The following is a 21,466-nucleotide window of genomic DNA, read 5'->3' as shown; positions in this document are numbered from 1 at the left end:
ATCATATGTTCCATGTATCAAGTTTTCCTATTTTCCATTTTGGTCTCTCTAGTTGCATTCTGAACAATTTCTTACGATCGTTCTTCCAGTTCACTGATTTTTCTCAAGCTGTTTCTAACTTGCTGTTCAACTTGTCTAGTAAGTTTCTAAGCTCCCTTTTTATATTTTTCATTTCTTAAAGTTTCTTTTAGTTCTTTCCTCAAATCTATCTGATCAACTTTTTTGTTTCTGGATCATCTTTTTTCTTCTTTTAAGCATATCAAACATTTTAATTTTATAGTCTACACTTGATGATAATTCCAATATTTGTAATTTTGAGGACTTTATTTTGTGACTTGTTTTTTCTGCTAAATCATGATCCTAATGACTTACATCCTTCATAATTTTCTACTGTAAGGCTATTTTTCTTAGAACTTTGTAAGAATTTTATTAAAGATTATGTTTAAATGGGCTTTTTTTAGACAGGGTCTCACTCTTGTTGCCCAGGGTGGAGCGCAGGGGCGTGATCACAGCTCACTGCAGTCTTGAACTCCTGGGCTCAAGCAATCATCCCACCTCAGCCTGGTGACCAGCTAGGACTACAGGTTTGAGCCACCACGTGGATAGGTTGTTTTTGTTTTTGTAGAGATGGGGTGTGGCTATGTTGTCTAGCCAGTCTTGAACTCCTGGCCTCAAACGATCATCTCACCTTGGTCTCCGAAAGTGCTGGGATTATAGGCATGACTCACCACAACAGGCCTAAATGGGCTTCTTAAGGAGATAATTTATTTTACTTCTGCTAGATGTCTGCCTAGGAAGACTACCAATCTGGACTAGATTTAAATTTTCAACTTGAGTTTTTTGGAAATAATAGGTAGTGCAAAATCTAGCCATACTCTGGTATCAAAGAGGATCTGTGGTTAGAATCATCAAAGACCTCTCCTGCACCAACCCAGAGCCAAGGCTAAAACTGTCAGTGTGCTTTTCTCTGGGAAAGTCTTTTTTTTCCCTACCTGTTTTGAGACAGGGTCTCACTCTGTTGCCCAGGCTGAAGTGCAGTGGCACCATCAAGGCTCACTGCAGCCTCAACCTCCAAGATGAAGCAATCCTCCAACTTCTCAGCCTCCCAAGTACCTGGGATTACAGGTGAATGACACCATGCCCAGCTGATTTTTTTTGTATTTTTTACAGAGATGGGATTTTGCCATGTTGCCTAGGCTGGTCTTGAATGCCTGGGCTCCAGTGATCCTCATGCATCAGCCTCCCAAAGTGCTGGGACTACAGGCATGAACCACCATGCCCAGCCTCATTTGCTTTTTTACCAGCTTAAATCTCTGCTTTAAAAAAACTTTATATGTGTTGAATTGAAAAACTTTATATATACACCTGTAATCCCAGCACTTTCAGAGGCCAAGACGGAAGGACTGCTTGAAACTACAAGTTCAAGACCAGCCTGGCAACATAGGAAGACCACCCCCCTCTACAAAAAAGATTAAAAACTTAGCCAGGGTGGTGGTACACATCTGTAGTTCCAGTTACCTGGGAGGCTAAGGCTGGAGGATTGCTTGAGTCTGGGAGACTGAGGCTACAGTGAGCCAAGATCACATGATTGTACTACAGTCTGGATGACAAAGCGGGACTGTCTCAAAAAACAAAACAAAATGGGTCAGGCATGGTGACTCATGCCTTTAATCCCAGCACTATGGGAGGCTGAGGCAGGCAAATCGCTTGAGCTCAGGAGTTCGAGACCAGCCTGGGCAACGTGGCACAACCCTGTCTCTACAAAATACTTAAAAAATTAGCGAGGCGTGTTGGCACATGCCTACAGTCCCAGCTATTTGAGAGCCTGAGGCAAGAGGATCACTTAAGTCCAGGAGGTCAAGACTGAAAAGAGCCGTGAGGAATTCTCAGAACAGCTAATTCATAATATTTCAAGGAAATAATACCAGTATTTTTTCTTAAAGCTAAATTAAAGAGTAATTCCAAAAATTGAGACAATTATGGTATAACAGAAAAACTTTATTCTGCCACCCAATAATTATGTAATCCTTCCGCTTCTCTATTTTTAAGAACATAACGCCTAGGCCAGGCACAGTGGCTCACGCCTGTAATCCCAGCACTTTGGGAGGCGAAGGTTGGTGGATCCACTTGAGGTCAGGAGTTCAAGATCAGCCTGGCCAATATGGTGAAACACTGACACTCTCTAATAAAAACACAAAAATTGGGCCAGGCGCAGTGGCTCACACCTGTAATTCCAACACTTTGGGAGGCCAAGGCGGGTGGATCACCTGAGATCAGGAGTTCAAGACCAGCCTGGCCAATGTGGTGAAACCCCGTCTCTACTAAAAATACAAAAATTAGCCGGGCGTGGTGGTGGGTGCCTGTAATCCCAGGTACTTGGGAGGCTGAGGCAGGCGAATCGCTTGAATCCAGGAGGCGGAGGTTGCAGTGAACCAAGATCGCGCCATTACACTGCAGCCTGGGTAACAGGAGTGAAACTCCGTCTCAAAACAAGAAAAAAAAATGAGCCAGGCATGTTGGCATGTGGCTGTAGTCCCAGCCACTTGGGAGGCTGAGGCAGGACAATCACTTAAACCTGGAGGAAGAGGCTACAGTGACCCAAGACTGTGCCACTGCACTTCAGCCTGGGTAACAGAGTGAGACTCCATCTCAAAATATAAATTATTAATTAATAAGTAATTAAAGCAGAAGTCTTGCTATGCAGTGCTTCTTGGCTTTTGGTTTCATGGCTGCTAGAAGCTTTTACAATAATAGCAAAACCAGTAACAAGATAACAGCCCTTACAGGGGAGCTAAAGCATCTCTGAAGTAGCACCATGAATAACTATAGCAACATCTTGGATTAGAGATGTTAATTCACAACTTCCTCATATCGTAATTAGCTCAGGGAGGAAGACAACTAGTTTTCAAACAGCCCCACCAGGAGAAGTATCAAGGTATTATTTAAGAACGTATAAGTAGCAATTTTCTTTTTTTTCTTTTTTTTTTTTGAGACAGAGTTTTGCTCTGTCACCCAGGCTGGAGCGCAGTGACACGATCTCGGCTCACTGCATCCTCTGTCTCCTGGGTTCAAGCAATTCTCTGCCTCAGCCTCCCAAGTAGCTCGGATTACATGCGCCCATCACCATGGAGTGTCACCATCTTGGCCAGGCTGATCTTGAACTCCTGACCTCGTTATCCACCCACCTCGGCCTCCCAAAGTGCTGGGATTATAGGCGTGAGCCACCATACCTGGCATAAGTATCAATTTTCAAAAGCAAGACACTTTCATATTTGCCACTATATATACATGCAAAAAGTGCTTGCTGTACCAAAAGTATCTCATCAAAGTTTTTAAACAATCAATCACTATTCAAATCCACTCTGGCTAAATTAAGCAGAAGAGTTTTGTTTTATTTTTGAAACAGGATCTCACTCTTTTGCCCAGGCTGGAGTGCAGTAGCACTTCAGCTCACTGCAGCTTCAACCTCCCAGGATCAACCAATACTCCCACCTCAGGCTCCCAAGCTACAGCTGCATGCCACCACACCTGGCAAATTTTTGCACTTTTTGTAGAGACAGGATTTCATCATGTTGTGCAGGCTGGTCTTGATTTCAGTCTATCAGCCTGCCTCAGCCTCCCAAAGTGCTGGGATTACAGGCGTGCACCACCATGCCCACATTGAAAGGTAATTATTTTTTGAGATGGGGTCTCACTCTGCGGCCTAGGATGGAGCGCAGTGGTGTGATCTTGGCCCACTGCAGCCTCTGCCTCCCAGGCTCTAGGGATCCTCCCACCTCAGCCTCTTGAGTAGCTAGGACCACAGGCATGTGCCACCATGCCCAGCTGATGTTGTGTTTTTGTTTTTGTTTTTGTTTTTAAGTACAGACGGGGTTTCACCATGTGGCCCAGGCTGGTCTCAAACTCACAAGCTTAAGTGATTCACCCACCTTAGCCTCCCATCCCAAGTGCTGGGATTATAGGTGTTGAGCCACGGCACCCGGTCATCTGAAAGGTGCAGTAGACGCTCTGATTCTCACTAGGAGGGGTGAAAAAACAGATGCAAAGATAAGATCACCCAAAATAATGTTGCACAAGGATCTGGTGAGGAAACCACTATCCCTGTCACCACCAGGCACTAAATAACAAGATTCAAATCCATTATAACCTTTACTACTGCCAGCACCAAAGCCACTCTCTATTAGGAACTCAATCTGCAACTATTACCTCCACTTAAAGCTGACCAACCCTGCTGCCATTCCTAACTGCAAAATGGAAGTTATAAACAGAACCTTCACTTCCTTCCATTGTGTACTTTCAAAGAGAAGTCATCTGAGTGTGTCTGTAGGTCACATGCCTGCATCCAAGAAAACATGGAGGGTGGGGGCGGTGGCTCACGCCTATAATCCTAACTCTTTGGGGGTCCAAGGTGAGTGGATCACTTGAGCTTAGGAGTTCAAGACTACCACGGGCCACATGGCAAAACTCCATCACTACCAAAAAAAAAAACAACAACAAAAAAACAAGAATTAGCTGGGCATGGTGGCTCATACCTGTAGTCCCAGCCACTTGGAGAGCTGAGACAGGAGGAATGCTTGAACCTGGGAGGTGGAGGTTACAGTGAGCCGAGATCGTGACACCGCACTCCAGCCGGGGTAACAAAGTGAGCCCGTCTCAAAAAAAAAAAACAAAAAAAAGAAGCTGGGAATTTGAGTTTTCACTAGTACACATACTGAGGAGGCCTGACACATAACATGGGCAATTTTGCAAATGTAGACATATAACAAAAAATTGGAAGGCTTCGGACATGACAAATATTCACCATATGAGACTAAGGCTAATATTTAACATACAAAGTATGTCATATATAATTAATTTATAAATATCCAAATATCGGAGGATTATGCTCAAAAACCTTTTCTCCTGATGGGGTACGCTATTTCACTAAATATTTAATAACTGATCAAAATCATTAATAAATATATTCCCTTCAGCAGTACACTACCCCAAAATCTGATGTGTCCCTGATAATTAATGGTGCTAAGAATACTCAAAGTGTAAGATCTAAAGACATTACACTCTAATGGCATAAAGATAAGCAGTACTTCTGGGCATATTTATATCTTTCATCAGCCTAGTTAAGACTATACATTTTATTTTATTCATTCATTTATTTTTTTGAGACAGATCTCCTGCTCTGTTGCCCAGGCTGGTAATGCAATGGCACGATCTCGGCTCACTGCAACCTCCACCTCTGGGATTCAAGCGATTCTCCTGCCTCAGCCTCCTGAGTAGCTGGGATTACAGGTGTGCGCCACCATGCTGGGCTAATTTAAGTATGTTTAGTAGACACAGGGTTTCACAATGTTGGCCAGGCTGGTCTCGAACTCCTGACCCCATGATCTCCCTGCCTCGGCCTCCTGAAGTGCTGGGATTACAGGCGTGAGCCACTGTACCAGGCCAAGACTATACATTTTAAAAGCCACTGATGCACACAAGAAGACATATAAAAGGTTGTATAGTACAGTATTGAACCCACAAGTGAAAAACTGAAAACCACCTAAATGTTCACCTATAGGTGAATAGTTAAATATGGTCTATCTCTTAATGTGGAATACTATAAAAGTTTAAGAAAACCAAAATAGGACTACATTCACCAACATGGAAATTGTTCCAATGCATATTGTTCAGTGAAAAAAGTAACGCTGCAAAACAATAAGCACTTTATATTATCATTTCTATTAACAAACAAAATCACTGTACAGATAAATATATAGGTATAGGCTAGGCACAGTGGTGCATGTCTGTAATCCCAGCACTTCTGGAGGCTGAGGCTGAGGGATCGCCTAACCCAAGGAATTCAAGATCAGCCTGGGCAACACAGTGAAACCCTGTCTTTACAAAATCACAAGAATTAGCCAGGCATGGTAACATGCACCTCTAGTTCCAGGTACCCAAGAGGCTGAGACGAGAGGATGGCTTGAGAATGGGAGGAGGAGGTTGCAGTAAGCCAAGATCATGCCACTGCACTCCAGCCTGAATGACAGAGCAAGACCCCGTCTCAACAGAACACAACAACAACAACAACAAAACCCAGAAAAGACCTGAAAGGTTACAATACTGTTAAACAAGAGAATTACAAATTACCAAGATTGTTTGCCGAACAGGGAAAATGTGCAAAGGACAGACTGGAATAGTTTATCATAAAATATCATTTTTACCCTATTCAACGGCCCAGATTCAATACTATTTTGATAAGCATGAAAAGGAAAAATCAGTTCATTGCTATAATTTATATAACTCTTCTGAAGAGTTGGCAATGTTTATTAAAAGCCTTAAATACACAATTTTGATCCAAAAATTCTACTTGTCAGATTTACTCAAAAGAAACTGAGATATATAAAAACATGTAAGTACAAGGATGTTTGCCACACTAATTTTATAAACATCCTACCATAGAGGTGAACTGTAGTTCATCTATAAAATAGAATATACCAGATCCTTAAAACCAGATTTAGGGAAAACTGTAAAAATCTGAGTAAGGTCTGTGGACTGTATCAATGTTAATTTGCTGCTCATTATACCATACTATAGTTACGCAAGGTGATACTACAAGGAGAAACTGAGCAACAACTTCACAGGACCACTTTGTACACTGTTTTGCAACTTCATGAATCTATAATTACAGTCATGTGCTGCATTAATGACATTTTGATCAAGCACAAACTGCATGTACAACAGTGGTCCCATAAGATTATAATAGCCATACCATATAGCCTAGGTGTGTTGTAGGTATACCATCTAGATTTGTATAAATATTTTCTGATGTTCACATAATGAAATCCGTAACACATCCCTCAGGATGTATCCCTGAACAAGGCAAGATTGAATTATCTTTAAAAAGTTTTGAAAAATGGAGAAAAAATCTTAGAAAGTATGGGAAATGTTCACTATCTGTGATACTGTAAAATATATATTTTACAGTGTATTTCAGTTGTGTATGATAGTATCCACACACAACTAAAATCCTTACAATCTCCAAAGTGATGTCTTTTTGCATGCTAATAAGTTAACTGATGGCTGGCAGCCCCTAAGTCAGTTTAGCTAGAATAAAATCTATCTTTTCATTTAGACTCTAGACAGCCAATTTTTTTTTTTTTTTGAGACACAGTCTCACTCTGTCGCCCAGGCTGGAGTGCAGTGGCATGATCTCAGCTCATTGCAACCTCTGACTCCCGGGGTCAAGGGAGTCTCCTGCCTCAGCCTCCTGAGTAGCTGGGATCACAGGCGCCCACCACCACGTCCGGCTAATTTTTTGTATTTTTAGTAGAGACGGGGTTTCACCATGTTGGTCATGCTGTTCTCAAACTCCTGACCTCGTGATCCGCCCGCCTCAGCCTCCAAAGTGCTAGGATTACAGGTGTGAGCTACCACGCCCAGCCAATAGCCAAGTTTTATTCATCTTCTCACCACAGTTTAGACCGCCATCAAAATCTTGATCACTTCCACAGGATTAGAAGCCCTTGAGATTACAGTTTTATAAATATCTACTAAACGATGTAAACTGTCCAAATGCATGCTAAACTATCTGCCAACATATACATAGTATGCAAGCACATAGATACTCAACAAAAAGATCTAAACTATCTGTAAAACTGATGCTTCAATCACCACCCTTATTTCTAAGCAATATGTCATCCCCAAATAAGCCAAAGGCAGTCCTGATTATTGTCCCATTTAATGCTAAATTCTACCTTCAGAGAGATAAAAATGAAAGGAAAAAGAGAACCATCAAATTCTTGTGAAAATGGTATCCTCCTGTCCTAAGAAATTACAGACCTAAGGTAACAGAACCATGAGTTAGGAAGAAAATCACCATAAATATGGTAAAACCGTCTCTTCGGACATACATAACCTTTTGTTTTACTTACCTATTTACTATCAGAAACAGAAATCCCATGCCACTTAACCCCATAAATGCTGTAAAACAGAAATAAAATGTATAAATTGATTAAATGTATTTTGCCCCATCAATCATCCAGGTTCAATTTTTACATCTCCAATACTGAGAGGGCTACTACTAAGTTACAAGTACTTAGGGGGGGAAAAAAAAACACCTGTCATTTCTTCCAAAGTAACTTCAGAATCCTACCAGAAGATGCTTAGGGCTATTTTACAAAAAGTAAAAATGAAAATTAAAGTGGGAATTCTTCACTCATTCAGAGAATAGTAATTACATTTATGGAACATCTAATTAATCTTCATAACAATCTCAGTTAAGTCCTATTATCATCCACATTTTACAGACAAGGAAAAAGTTACTTTACTTCAAGGTAAAGTAATCTGCCCAAAGTTACATAGCTATTAATACAAAACCAGGATTTAAACCTAAGGAGTCTAGGGGCTGGGCACAGTAGCTCAGGTCTATAATCCCAGCACTTTGGGAGGCCAAGGCGGGTGGATCACCTGAGGTCAGGAGTTCAAGACCAGCCTGGCCGACAAGGTGAAACCCCGTTTATCTACTAAAAATACAATAATTCAGTGGGCATGGTGGCGTGTGCCTGTAGCCCCAGCTACTCGGGACGCTGAGGCAGGAGAATCACTTGAACTCGGGGGGCAGAGGCTACAGTGAGATGAGATCACGCCACTGCACTCCAGCTTGGGCAACAGAGCGAGACTCCATCTCAAAAAAAAGAAAAAAGAAAAAACAAAAATGAATATAGAAAATAGCCGCCAGATTACAACTAGGGTCCCTAGGCTGGGCTCAGTGGTTCACATCTGTAATCCCAGTACTTTGGGAGGCTGAGGCAGGCGAATCACCCGAGTTTAGGAGTTCAAAACCAGCCTGGCCAACATGGTGAAACCCCATCTCTACTAGATGGGGTTGGTGGTGCACGTCTGTAATCACAGCTACTCGGGAGGCATGAAAATCACTTGAACCCGGGAGGCAGGGGTTGCCGTGAGCTGAGATTGTGCCACTGCACTCCAGCCTAGGCAACAGAGCAAAAATCCATCTCAAAAAATAAATAAAAATTTTTAAAAATACAAAAAGGCAGGTGCCTGTAATCCCAGCTACTTAGGAGGCAGAGGAGAGTCACTTGAACCAGGGAGGCAGAGGTTGCAGTGAGCCAAGATTGCGCCACTGCACTTCAGCCTGGAGAACAGAACAAGTCACTATCTTCAAAAAAAAAAAAAAAGAATCAACTAGGGATCTTGATAAAATGCAGACTGATTCAGTAATTCAGGGGTAGAGTTTCTACTGTAACAAACCCCTGGGTTAAAAGGAGCTTACTACTATCTACGGATAACACTTTGAACAGCAAGGAAACTGGACCACCCTAAGTTGTTTCCACCAACCTCCCGAAGTTGTCAAAAATCAGAATTCACTTGCCCTCTACTGTGGAAGAAAATCTGAAGTTTATTCATCAATATTATCATCAGTATTATTGCTGGTACTCTAGTACCAGTGGAAAAGACAGGATTTATATCCTAAAATTCCCACTATCTCAATCAGACAGTATCTGTCATTCATCAAAAGAACCTGACGCCACCATCGATTAGTGGCACTTAACCTTTTGGGGGTCACGAATCACTCTGAAAATATAATCAAAGTTACAAATTTCTCCCTAGAAAGTTCAACATGAGATTCATGAATATTTTCATTAAAAATAAAGAATTCTAGGCCGGGTACCGTGGCTCACGCCTGTAATCCCAGCACTTTGGGAGGCTGAGGAGGGCGGATCATGAGGTCAGGAGATCGAGACCATCCTGACTAACACGATGAAACCCTGTCTCTACTAAAAATACAAAAAATAACCAGGCGTGGTGGTGGGCGCCTGTAATCCCAGCTACTTGGGAGGCTGAGGCAGGAGAATGGCGTGAACCCAGGAGGTGGTGACTGCAGTGAGCAGAGATTGCACTACTGCACTCCAGCCTGGGCAACAGCGAGATTCCATCTCAAAAAAAAAAAAAAAAAGATAAAGAATCCTGTATTAATAGACGTCTAACAGACTGGGTGTTGTGGCTCCTCACACCTGTAATCGCAGCACTTTGGGAGGCCAAGATGGGAGGATCGTTTGAGGCCAGGAGTTCAAACCAGCCTAGCCAACATAGCAAGACCCTGTCTCTATTAAAAAAAGGTATCTAACATTTAGTATTTAATCCTCAAAATACTAAGCCATTACTTCAATTAGTCAGCTGATAAAGCTAATGGCTAACTACACAAACGAACTTAAATATACCTCAACCTCAAGCATCAATATTAAATATCAAAATAGTTCTTTTTTTTTTTTTTGCCGGGCGTGGTGGCTCACACCTGTAATCCCAGCACTTTGAGAGGCTGAGGTGGGCAGATCACCTGAGAGCAGGAGTTCGAGACCAGCCTGACCAACATGGAGAAACCCCGTCTCTACTAAAAATACAAAATTAGCCACGCATGGTGGTACCTGTGTGTAATCTCAGCTACTCAGGAGGCTGAGGCAAGAGAATCAATCGCCTGAACCTGGGAGGCGGAAGTTGCAATGAGTCAAGATCGCTCCAGCCTGGGCAATAAGAGCGAAACGCCATCTTAAAAAAATAATAATAATAATAATAATTCTTTTTCTTTTCTTTTTTTTTTTTGAGACAGAATCTTGCTATGTCATCCAGGCTGGAGTGCAGTGGCACAATCTCAGCTCACTGCAACCTCCACCTCCTGGGTTCAAGCCATTCTCCTGCCTCAGCCCTCTATGCAGCCCCTTACAGGCATGTGCCACTATACCCGCCTAATTTTTTTTGTATATTTTTTGGTAGAGATGGGGTTTTGCCATGTTGGCCAGGCTGGTCTCAAACTCCTGACCTCAAGTGATCCACCAGCCTTGGCCTCCCAAAGTGCTGGGATTACAGGCATGAGCCACTGCACCTGGCCCTGGTTGGGTCTTGAACTCCTGGCCTCAATCAGTCCTCCTGTCTGCCTCCCTAAGTGCTAGTATTACAGGTGTGAGCCACCACGCCCAGCCTACAACTCTAAATGTTTTATTCTGTCAATCTTCTTAACATCCCTACGTGATAGATATTAATATTACCCTCCCATATTATTGTCCTCAATTTACAGATAAGGAAGCAGAGAGATTAAACAAAAAGTGGCTCAGTCTCAGCAGAGATTTAGACCCAGGCAGGCTGGCCCCAGAGTCCATGTTTCTAGACATTGTTTTCTTCTTGCCTGCTGGTCAAAGAAAAAAAAAATCTTTTATGTAACCTTGTATATAAATGTATCTTAATTTTACTCAGTCACTGCCCTCCTATTTTTTTTCTTCCTCCAACTCAAAAGGCAAAAATAATCCTATTTTCATTATCTTGCTCAACTGCAACTTTCTGCCCTATAAATTTACATTTTCCACAGCCAATATATTTAAAAAAAAAATTTTTAAGACATGGGGTGTCACTATGTTGCCCAGACTGGTCTTGAACTCCTGAACTCAAGTAATCCTCCCACCTCAGCCTCCCAAAGTGCTGGGATTACAGGTATGAGCCACGCCCACCCAGCCTGCCATACCCAATGTAACAAATATTTCAGTACCCACTTACGTGCATTATGTTACTTTGTTAGTATAGCAGGAAAGAAAGTCTTGCCAATAAGCACACAGTAAACCTCTAATCTCTTCTGAAAATTTACAAGTTATTATACAAACCAGAATACTTTTGAGAAGGAAAAAGGGTAAAACATCTGTCACAGAAAATATTTGTATGCTGTGACCTTCCAGGGCAAAATAGCAGGTAAGATCATCTTACCTGCTAGTCAGTAGTATGAAATACTATCGAACTATTTGTTACACAAACCCTGCATTACTGCAGACTTTTCTACCCTGCATTACTGCAGACTTTTCTACCCTGACGAGAAATCCTTTTCTCGCCGGGTGCGGTGGCTCATGCCTGTAGTCCCAGCACTTTGGGAGGCCGAGGAGGGCGGATCACCTGAGGTTGGGAGTTCGAGACCAGCCTGACCAACATGGAGAATCCCTGTCTCTACTAAAAATACAAAATTAGCCAGCATGGTGGTGCATGCTTGTAATCCCAGCTACTCAGGAAGGCTGAGGTAAGAGAATCACTTGAACCCGGGAGGCGGAGGTTGCAGTGAGCTGAGATCACACCATTGCACTCCAGCCTGGGCAACAAGAGAGAAACTCCAGCTGGAAAAAAAAAAAAAAAAAAAAAAAAAAGCAGAAAATCCTTTTCTCTTCTCTCAGTACATACAAACCCAATAGAACTTAACTCAACTCATCCCTGGAGTTTGGCATTTATGAATGCAGTTCACATCCTACCCCTAATAATATTCATCTAAAGCACTCTTCTGTCTTTGGTTTAGAGCCCGTCATTTAAAAACAGTAGAGATATTCTGTGAACCAAAGATTGGTTCAAGTGGTGGGACAAGGACACAGGTAAGACAGGAAAGATGAGTACATACTTAGATGTTTCTTTTTCTTACATTTACTTACACTTTTACATTATAATTTTTTTCAAAAGAGTAAGTGCAAAGTGCCTATTTGCATTTTAACATTTGTATTCCTTTAATTAATTTTCCTTTTTTTGAGACAGTCTCACTGTCACCCAGGCTGGAGTGCAGTGACATGATCTCGGCTCACTGCAACCTCTGCTTCAAGGTGTGCCTCAGCCTCCCAAGTAGCTAGGACTACAGGCACATGCCCAGATAATATTTTTATTTTTAGTAGACATGGGGTTTCGCCATGTTGGCCAGGCTGGTCTCAAACTCCTGGCCTCAAGTGATCCACTTGCCTCGGCCTCCCAAAATTCTGGGATTACAGGCATGAGTCACCCCGCCCAGCTGTACTCCTTTAAATGCTGCAAGTAAATGTGTATTTTAACATACTGCCATCTTCATTCCTCTTTTAAAACTTTTATTTGCCCAACCAAAAGTATACTCTCCAACTATAAAAAAAACTTTAAATAATTATAAATTGTTTGACTTGCCCTAAATCAGAGTATGTTAGTAACAAGGCTGAGATGAAAACTTAGAAGTTATACTTCTCTTAAATTAGTTTAAACCTTAAAGAAAACAAAGCTTCGGCCAGACGCAGTGGCTCACGCCCGTAATCCCAGCACTTTGGGAGGCCGAGGAGGGTGGATCACAAGGTCAGGAGTTCGAGACCAGCCTGACCAATATGGTGAAACTCCGTCTCTACTAAAAATACAAAAAATAGCTAGGCGTGGTGGTACGCGCCTGTAGTCCCAGCTACTCAGGAGGCTGAGGCAGAAGAATCGCTTGAACCCAGGAGGCGGAGGTTGCAGTGAGCCGAGATCATGCCACTGTACTCCAGCCTGGGCGACAGAGCAAGATTCCATCTCAAAAAACAAACAAAAAAACTGTTAAGATGGGCTGGGCGCGGTGGCTCAAGCCTGCAATCCCAGCACTTTGGGAGGCTGAGGCAGGTAGATCTGAGGTTAGGAGTTTGAGACCAGCTTGGCCAACATGGCGAAACCTCGTCTCTACTAAAAATACAAAAATTAGCCAGCATGGTGGCGTACGTCTGTAGTCCCAGCTATACTGGGGAGGTTGAGGTGAGAGAATCACTTGAACCCAGGAGGCAGACATTGCAGTGAGCCGAGATCATGCAACTGCACTCCAGCCTGGGCAACAGAGCAAGATTCTCTCTCAAAAAAACAAAAAACTGTTAGATGATACTTTTTAAGTTATATGTATTTCACAATTAAAAATATTTTTAACTGGTGGCATGAGCCTGTAGTCCCAGCTACTCAGGAGGCTGAGGCCAGATTGCTTGAGCCCAGGAATTTGAGGCTATGGTGTGCCATGACTGTACCTGTGAATAGCCACTGTACTCCAGCCTGGACAACACAGTGAGACCCTGTCTCTTAAAAAATAATAAAATAATAATTTAAAAAAATTTTTTGAGGCAGGGTCTCACTCTGTCATCCAGGCTGGAGTGCAGTGTCATGAACATGGTTCACTGCAGCCTCGATCTCCTGGCTCAAGTGATCCTCCCACCTCAAGTGTAGCTGGGACCACAACACATGCCACCAGGCCTGGCTAATTTTTTAAATTTGTTTGTAGAGGTTGGGGGTGGGGGTGGGGGGTGTCTAACTTTGTTGCCCAGGCTGGTCTTGAACTACTGGGCTCAAGCTATCCTCCCACCTCGGCCTCCCAAAGTGTTGAGATTACAGGCATGAGACACGTTACCCAACCTAAAATATGTTTTAATTATTTAAGAGTTATTAAAGCGTCCTAGGTCGTATGAAACTTAACTGCTACCTAAGTAAGTAAGTACAGTTGGCCCTCCATATCCATGAATTCCATATCCATAGGTTCTGTATCAGTGGAGCAATCAATCACAAATCAAAAATACTCAGAAAAAAAAATCATTGCATCTGTACTGACAATGTAGAGACTTTTTTCTTATCACTCTATAAATAATACAGTATAGCAACTATTTATAAAGCATTTACATTTTAATAGGTATTATAAATAATCTAGAGATTATTTAACATATACACAAAGATGTGCATAGGTGCTACGCAAATACTATGCCTTTTTATGTAAGACTTGAGCATCCAAGGTTTTTGGCATCTACAGAGGGTCCTGGAACCAATTTCCCACAAATACTGAGGGACAACTGTCTTCATTTTCAGGGAAAAACTCAAACAGAGACAGAAACCCAATTTCAGTAGTCACTGCATACCCACCCTTCCCAGTCTCTAGTTTTAATTTTTTTTATTTAAACAAAAATTTCAGCTTGAGCAAAAAAGCAAAACCCTGTCTCTACAAAAAATACCAAAAAAGAAAAAAATTAGCCAGGCATGGTGGTACATGTCTATAGTCCCAGCTACTTTGGAGACTGAGGTGGGAGGATCACTTGAGCTGGGGAGGTGGAGGCTGCAGCAAACGAGACTGTGTCTCAAAAAATTAAAAATTAAAAAAAAAACTGTAAATAAAAGAGAGAAATGAAAAAATTTTTTTAAATTACTATCTGCCTCCTTAGGGCTCACAAGTTTTAAGTAACTTGATAGCATTCAGATGAAGGTAGTACACTGCAGTTTCAAACTTACAAACAATTTGTTGTAAAAGAATTCATGGCAGGTCATGTTTGATGACTTTGTGAATCATCCAAACTTTTACCTCTTTCCAGAGAGGGACATTGTTTGTTTCTCCTTCAGAACAGAGGTGGAAAAAAAATCTGCCAGGCGCGGTGGCTCACGCCTATAATCCCAGCACTTTAGGAGGCCAAGGCGGGCGGATCACTTGAGGTCAGCAGTTCGAGACCAGCCTGGCCAACATCGTGAAACCCGTGTCTACTAAAAATCAGGAAAAAAAAAAAAAAGGCCAGGCATGGTGGCACATGCCTGAAGTCCCAGCTACTAGGGAGGCTGAGGCAGAACTGCTTGAACCCGCCAGGTGTGGTGGCTCACGCCTGTAATTCCAACACTTTGGGAGCCCGAGGTGGGCGAATCATGAGGTCAAGAGACCGAGACCATCCTGGCCAACATGGTGAAACCCCATCTCTACTAAAAATACAAAAATTAGTTGGGCGTGGTGGCATGCGCCTACAGTCCCAGCTACTCGGGAGGCTGAGGCAGGAGAATCACTTGAACCCAGGAGGTGGAGGTTGCAGTGAGCCGAGATGGCGCCACTGCACTCCAGCCTGGGCAACAAGAGTGGAAACTCCGTCTCAAAAAAAAAAAAAAAAAAAAAAAACTGCTTGAACCCAGGAGGCGGAGGTTGCAGTGAGCTGAGACTGCGCCACCCTCTAGCCTCGGTCTCAGAGCGAGACTCGGTCTCAAGAGGAAAAAAATAAAACAAACCAATAATCTACTGAAGTCAATATAGTTGGTCTTGCTCTGTCACCCGGCCTGGAATGCAGTGGCACAATCACGGCTCATTCCAGCCTTGACCTCCCATACTCAAGCGAAACTCCTGCCTCTGCCTCCCTAGTAGCTGGGACTACAGGTACATGCCACCACATTGGGCCCAAGGCCAGGTTTTAAAAAGTTGCATCTAAGTATTATTTACATAGGATTGATTCCTTGTCTGCAATATATTCTACTCCAATACAAGTAGGTGGTTGATGAGTTCTAATACAAGCTTCCATGTTCACTAGCTGTATAAACTTAGGCAAGTTTAAATTATATGTGCCTTAGTTTCTTTTTTTTGAGACAGAGTCTCACTCTGTTGTCCAGGCTGGAGTGTAGTGGTGCCATCTCAGCTCACTGCAACCTCTGCCTCCCAGGTTCAAGCGATTCTCCTACCTTAGCCTCCCGAGTAGCTAGGATTACAGGTGTGTGCCACCACCTCTGGCTAATTTTTGTATTTTTAGTAGAGATGGGGTTTCACCATGTTGGCCAGGCTGATCTCAAACTCCTGACCTCAGGTGATTTGCCACCCACCTCAGCCTCCCAAAGTGCTGGGATTACAGGCATGAGCCACTGCGCCCAGCTGCCTTACTTATCACTAAAATGGGGATACTAACACCTCATAGAGATATTGAGACTTAAGATGTACAGATATCTATATATGCAAAAACATCAAACGTTCCTGACACAAAGCACGATACAAGTATATACTACTACTGTTGTTATTGTTATATTGCTATTATCTATCCTACTGATTCTAGTGGGATAGTTAAGCTGGAATCTCTCCAGAAAAATACACATAAGTAAAAGGTATTGAACACAACTGCAGAGGACCCAGGGATCCCAGATTAACCCTGCCAAAGATGATCCACAAGCAAGTTGGTTTAGTAAAGCAGTTCTTAACCTCTTCTGTGACACAGACCTCTTTAGTAGTCCAATTAATCTATGGATCTCTTCTCCGTTTTTTTACATTTCTAAAATATATAGGATCACAAAGTAAACCAATTATATTGAAACGCAGTTATCAAAATATTTTAAAATGTCTAATATAGCAATACGTTAACAATATTTTTGACATATAGCAAGTAATGAGCATAAATATTTCAAGATAACTGCAAAAGCTGTAATACATGTAAAAAAGTGATTTGTCTTGGTGACAAGGTCACATACACTGTTGCTGCCATTAACATTTAAAGAATTTTCACTTCTTTTCCATTTAGATTTCAGTTAGAAGCTAGAGAAAATAAACACGCAAATTTTTTTCCTCAACCAAGCTTAGGTACTTACTTCCTCAATTCTATCCAAAAACCTAGATTAAGAACCTTTGACTTATGGGAAAGTACAAAAATAATTTTGAAGCCAGAAATTTATGTTCTAGAAGTCAGACTTCAGACTTTAGCCCCCACATTATTTACACTTGAATGACCTTAGACATCTAACTTCTGAGCTTTGGTTCTCTCACTGAGAATAATTCCTCTATCATGAGGTTACAGGGATCAAATATTAGTTAACAAAACGCCAAACGACCAACATGTTGTTTTTCACTGATTTTAATACCACATATTCAGCCCCAAATATTTAAAGACAGTTAATTTTCAATAAAACTCATATGAGAAAATGAAGAATGACATAGTGACTCACAAAGAAAATGATTAATGGAGATACAACTTTTAAACACTAGTTTGGCGAGAGATACGATAGAATTTGTCTAACCTGGGGAGTCGGACAGGCCTGAATTGCTAACATCCCGTCCATGATTTGACATCAGCATGACCTGGATCTAAATCCCAGTTAAACTACTTTACTTTTACTAAGTAAAGTTACTTTAACCTCTGGGGCTCGGTTTTGTCATCTGTAAAACATATTAAGTATCGCTTTAGAGACAGGAGAAGACCTAGTTTAAACAATAAATGGAGCTGTTATTAAAACTTACATTTTAATAAAGCCAAAGGAATCAATTTGGAAGTCAAAAGTATATTGTGGAGTTCCTGTCAATATAAACTTCACAATCTTTCTTCTGCCCAGCAAAACACACACTTAAAACCTGTGGTATTTACATAGCATAACATTCCTTAAAAAAACTGGCTGGCACTGGCTTAAAATCTTATCTGATTTCTTATTCTGCCTAAGGAAAACAACAATGAGGACAGAAAACAGTAAACAGAATGAGTTCAGTAATTTTAAGTCTTTTCATGATTTCCCCGGAATGTTCCAATGAATGTTTATTATGAATGTTAGATACACTCTAATGTAGCAGTCTTTTAAAAAACTAATTTAAAGATATCAAGCTTATCGGCGACACAATATCAGTTAGTTTAAAGAGAAAAAAAAACCGTAAAATCATTTATTTACTTTATGCTGGAATATTACGGAGTAAGATTTTCCCACAACCCGGAAAAAAAAATCTGCCATAGGCTGGCCCCGGCTCCTAGATTCATTATACAACCCGTAAATTCCTTCCCTCATTGAAAAGATTCTTCTTATGGGCATAGTTAACAAATGCCAAGTTGCGAAGTTGCAGCTTTGCTGGTTTGACGTTTTCACAATGTAAGAACAATATGATCTGGAATCTACTCAAAGCATTAGCCAGGCAGTCAGCTGACGCTCACTGCACACAAGAGGACAGAATTAAGGGAAATTAAATTTCGTATTTCTGTAAGGCAGGTATCCAACTCTATCTTGAAAACTAAAATAGGCCAACAGCAGACGTTCTAGTTTAAGTAATAAAAGTGTCTCATTGTTCAAATAACATTACAAAAAACGGCTTTTCCCGGAATAAGTTTCCCTCATTCTTGGAATTTTCCTTGTAAAGGGCTTTTAATCGGTTCATAGAACCAACCCTTCATCACGCAGCTGCTGCTTGAGTAACTTTTACAAAAGGTCAAAGCGGTGCCTTTCAAGGCTTCCAAACCCTACTGGCTTCTCCTCGATTCAAAGTAACTCGCTTTCACCCACAGAACGTTCCAGAGACCTAGGGACGGGGCCCGGGCAGAATTTGGTGGAAGTTGCTCAAAAGAACTTTTCAATTTTCTTTTCAAAATACTTACCGCATTTCACCTTTCTCCATCCGTGGCCCCACATGTTGCTCGCCTCCCTCCCAGAGGGGCCCCGCGAGGCCGCGCTCGGCCCCCGGAACGCGCCCACCTGATTACCCTCTCCTCCCTCAGACTCCGCCCCCCAACCCCCCAATGCTGCCTCCTTTAGGAGGTCCATATGGGACACTTTCCCCTTCCTCTGAACCTCACCGCCACACCAGAACAGCCCTCCGTTTTTCTCCTTCAATTCTTCTCCACTACGGGCCTCACCTCCCATAGCTTCCTAGAGTGTTGTGAGCGCGCAGAGGGAAGCTGCAGGCCTGCTCGGCCCAGGTGCTGTGTCAGCCTATCTGCCGGTTCCGCGGCGTGTACGGCCCGGAAAGTCACATGGCGGTGGGACCGGCCGGCGCCTCTACACTCCTGCTCTCCTAAGAGCAGGACGAGACTAGCATAATGCACTCACCTCCACGAAAAGCAACATGTCGTCCTCTGCTCAGCCCAATCGTTCCCGCCGCCGCAACTCCAACTGGCTCACAGGCCCGCGCCCCAATTGCTAGGATAAGGACACACACTCGCCTTGCCCCTCCACCCGGCAGTGGACCCGGCTCCTCCCCTGCCGTCAGCCGCTGCGGCCTGACCCGCCCAGTCCCACCTCCCTTGAAACAACAACTGCTTCCGGGTCTAGGGAAAAATTGTTTCCGGGAGAAAAGAGAGCCCTCGGCGCGCTCAACTTTTGCACTATCTTTTCCAGCAGCAGTGTGGGATGTACTATCATCTGTCGGGGGGAACGATTAGAAGGAGACGCCATTCTGTGGCACGGGGATGTGTAAAAATCGTAATGACACATTTTATCACTTGTCAGATAGCTACACAGCACTGATAATTCCGCAGTTTTCATAGTTCACAATCTAGATTTGATTTTTAAAGCCGACCTTGGCGAAGTGTACTGAACAAACCAACCCTGCCGAAAAGTGGTGGCTCACAGAAGAAAAGTAGACAAGAAAAAAAAAACAAAAAACTATGATACTAGCAAATATGTTAATAGCAGCTAATGTATATTAAATGCTTACATTGTGTTTGGCACTATACTAAGCATTTTATGTTAATTGATCTTAAAACAATTCTATGCAATAAACACTATTATTATCATCCCCATTTTACAGTTGAAGAAGCCCTCTAGGAGGTCGGGTTTCCCTTTAAAGAACTTTGCCCCAGGCTCATTTGAATTAATTACCCATGTCACCGCTTAATATACCAGTAATAACACTTAATCTGGACAGTGTCTTCTTTGACGTTCTGTCATTAATTCAAACGAAATACAATAAAAACAAAATTTTTAAAATTATCTATAATTTTTGTTAGATGGTCCAAATTCCTTATTGTCTTTAGCAATATGTAGTAGGATAGATCGCTCCCACTTGTATGTCCTAGTTCAAACACTCATCTTTTGAAATAATCATGTCTTGGCTGGGAAGGGTGGCTCACGCCTATAATCCCAGCAATTTGGAAAGCTGAGGCGGGCGGATCACTTGCGGTCGGGAGTTCAAGACCAGCCTGGCCAACATGGTAAAACCCCATCTCTACTAAAAATACAAAAATTAGCCAAGTGTGGTGGTGCACACCTGTAATCCCAGCTACTCGGGAGGCTGAGGCAGGCGAATCGCTTAAACCCAGGAGGTGGAGTTAATAGTGAGCCAACATCGCGCCACTGCACTCCAGCCTGGGTGACAGAGTGAGACTCTGTCTCAAATATAGTAATAATAATAGTAACGAATAAAAATTGGCCGGACACCGTGGCTCACGCCTGTAATTCTAGCACTTTGGGAGGCCGAGGCGGGTGGATTGCCTTAGCTCAGGAGTTCAAGACCAGCCTGGGCAACATGGTGAAATGCCATCTCTAGTAAAATACAAAAAATTAGCCAGGCATGGCAGTGTGTGCCTGTAGTCCCAGCTACGTGGGAGGCTGAGGCAGGAGAATTGCTAGAACCTGGGAGGCAGAGGTTGCAGTGAGCCAAGATCACGCCACTGCACTCAAGCCTGGGTGACAGAGTGTGACTCTGTCTCTAAAAAATAATAATAATAAATAAAAATGAAATAATCATGTCTTGATCTTTTCCAATGGATTTTTCCATTCTATTATTTAAAAAATCTTCCCAAAGTGAAGGTTTCATTTTCACCAAACCACTGTTACTTGATTTCAAGACTTTGCCATTCTGATCTCATGAAATCCTCCTTGCTTTGCCGCAAATGGAATCTCCTCAGATACCAAATTAATTCCACCACCAAATTGCTGATATCTGTTATCTCAGGCCCACCCTAATGTGGTCCTCAGTAAATTCCCGTGAAGTCATCTCAGTGATTAAACCAATCTCCTTACTTTCCCCCTAAGATGCAAACTCATTAGCACTCACCGCCAAAGCCATGGCTCAAGGTGTTGCCCCTACCTGGATTGCCTCCATTTGTCAATCAACCTTCTCTCTCCATAAGGTTTTCTCAAAGATTCTGCTTCTACAGATCTCTTCTTCGTGTCCCTTATTAGCACTTGATTATTATATTCTATCTTAAATCTTTTCTTTTTTGTTTTAGTTTCTTCA

The 21,466-nt window shown here is 42.4% G+C and overlaps 1 protein-coding gene across 61 annotated transcripts in view; it reads right to left on the bottom strand.

Moving 5' to 3' along the window:
• The window catches only part of LARP4 (La ribonucleoprotein 4), a 79,120-nt gene extending 59,641 nt beyond the window's left edge, over positions 1 to 19,479 (bottom strand). For 21 of the 61 annotated variants that reach the window (NM_001330415.2, XM_047428208.1, NM_001352308.2 and 18 more), the window contains exon 1: positions 19,336 to 19,479. In NM_001330415.2, the coding sequence (NP_001317344.1) occupies positions 19,336 to 19,353 (18 nt within the window). In that variant the 5' untranslated portion in view covers positions 19,354 to 19,479. Of the gene's footprint in view, positions 1 to 3,929; positions 4,019 to 7,910; positions 7,960 to 17,550; positions 17,690 to 18,884; positions 18,958 to 19,082; positions 19,216 to 19,335 lie in introns of those variants that run through there. The other 40 variants (XM_047428202.1, XM_047428205.1, XM_047428204.1 and 37 more) reach the window with 12 other exon arrangements.
• Positions 19,480 to 21,466: the final 1,987 nt, after the last annotated feature.

The sequence above is a fragment of the Homo sapiens genome, chromosome 12 (assembly GCF_000001405.40).
Source record: "Homo sapiens chromosome 12, GRCh38.p14 Primary Assembly".
NCBI classification, from domain to species: Eukaryota; Metazoa; Chordata; class Mammalia; order Primates; family Hominidae; genus Homo; species Homo sapiens.
The sequence above is the reverse complement of the archived record's forward strand: the minus strand, read 5'-3'. Positions and strand labels throughout refer to the sequence as shown.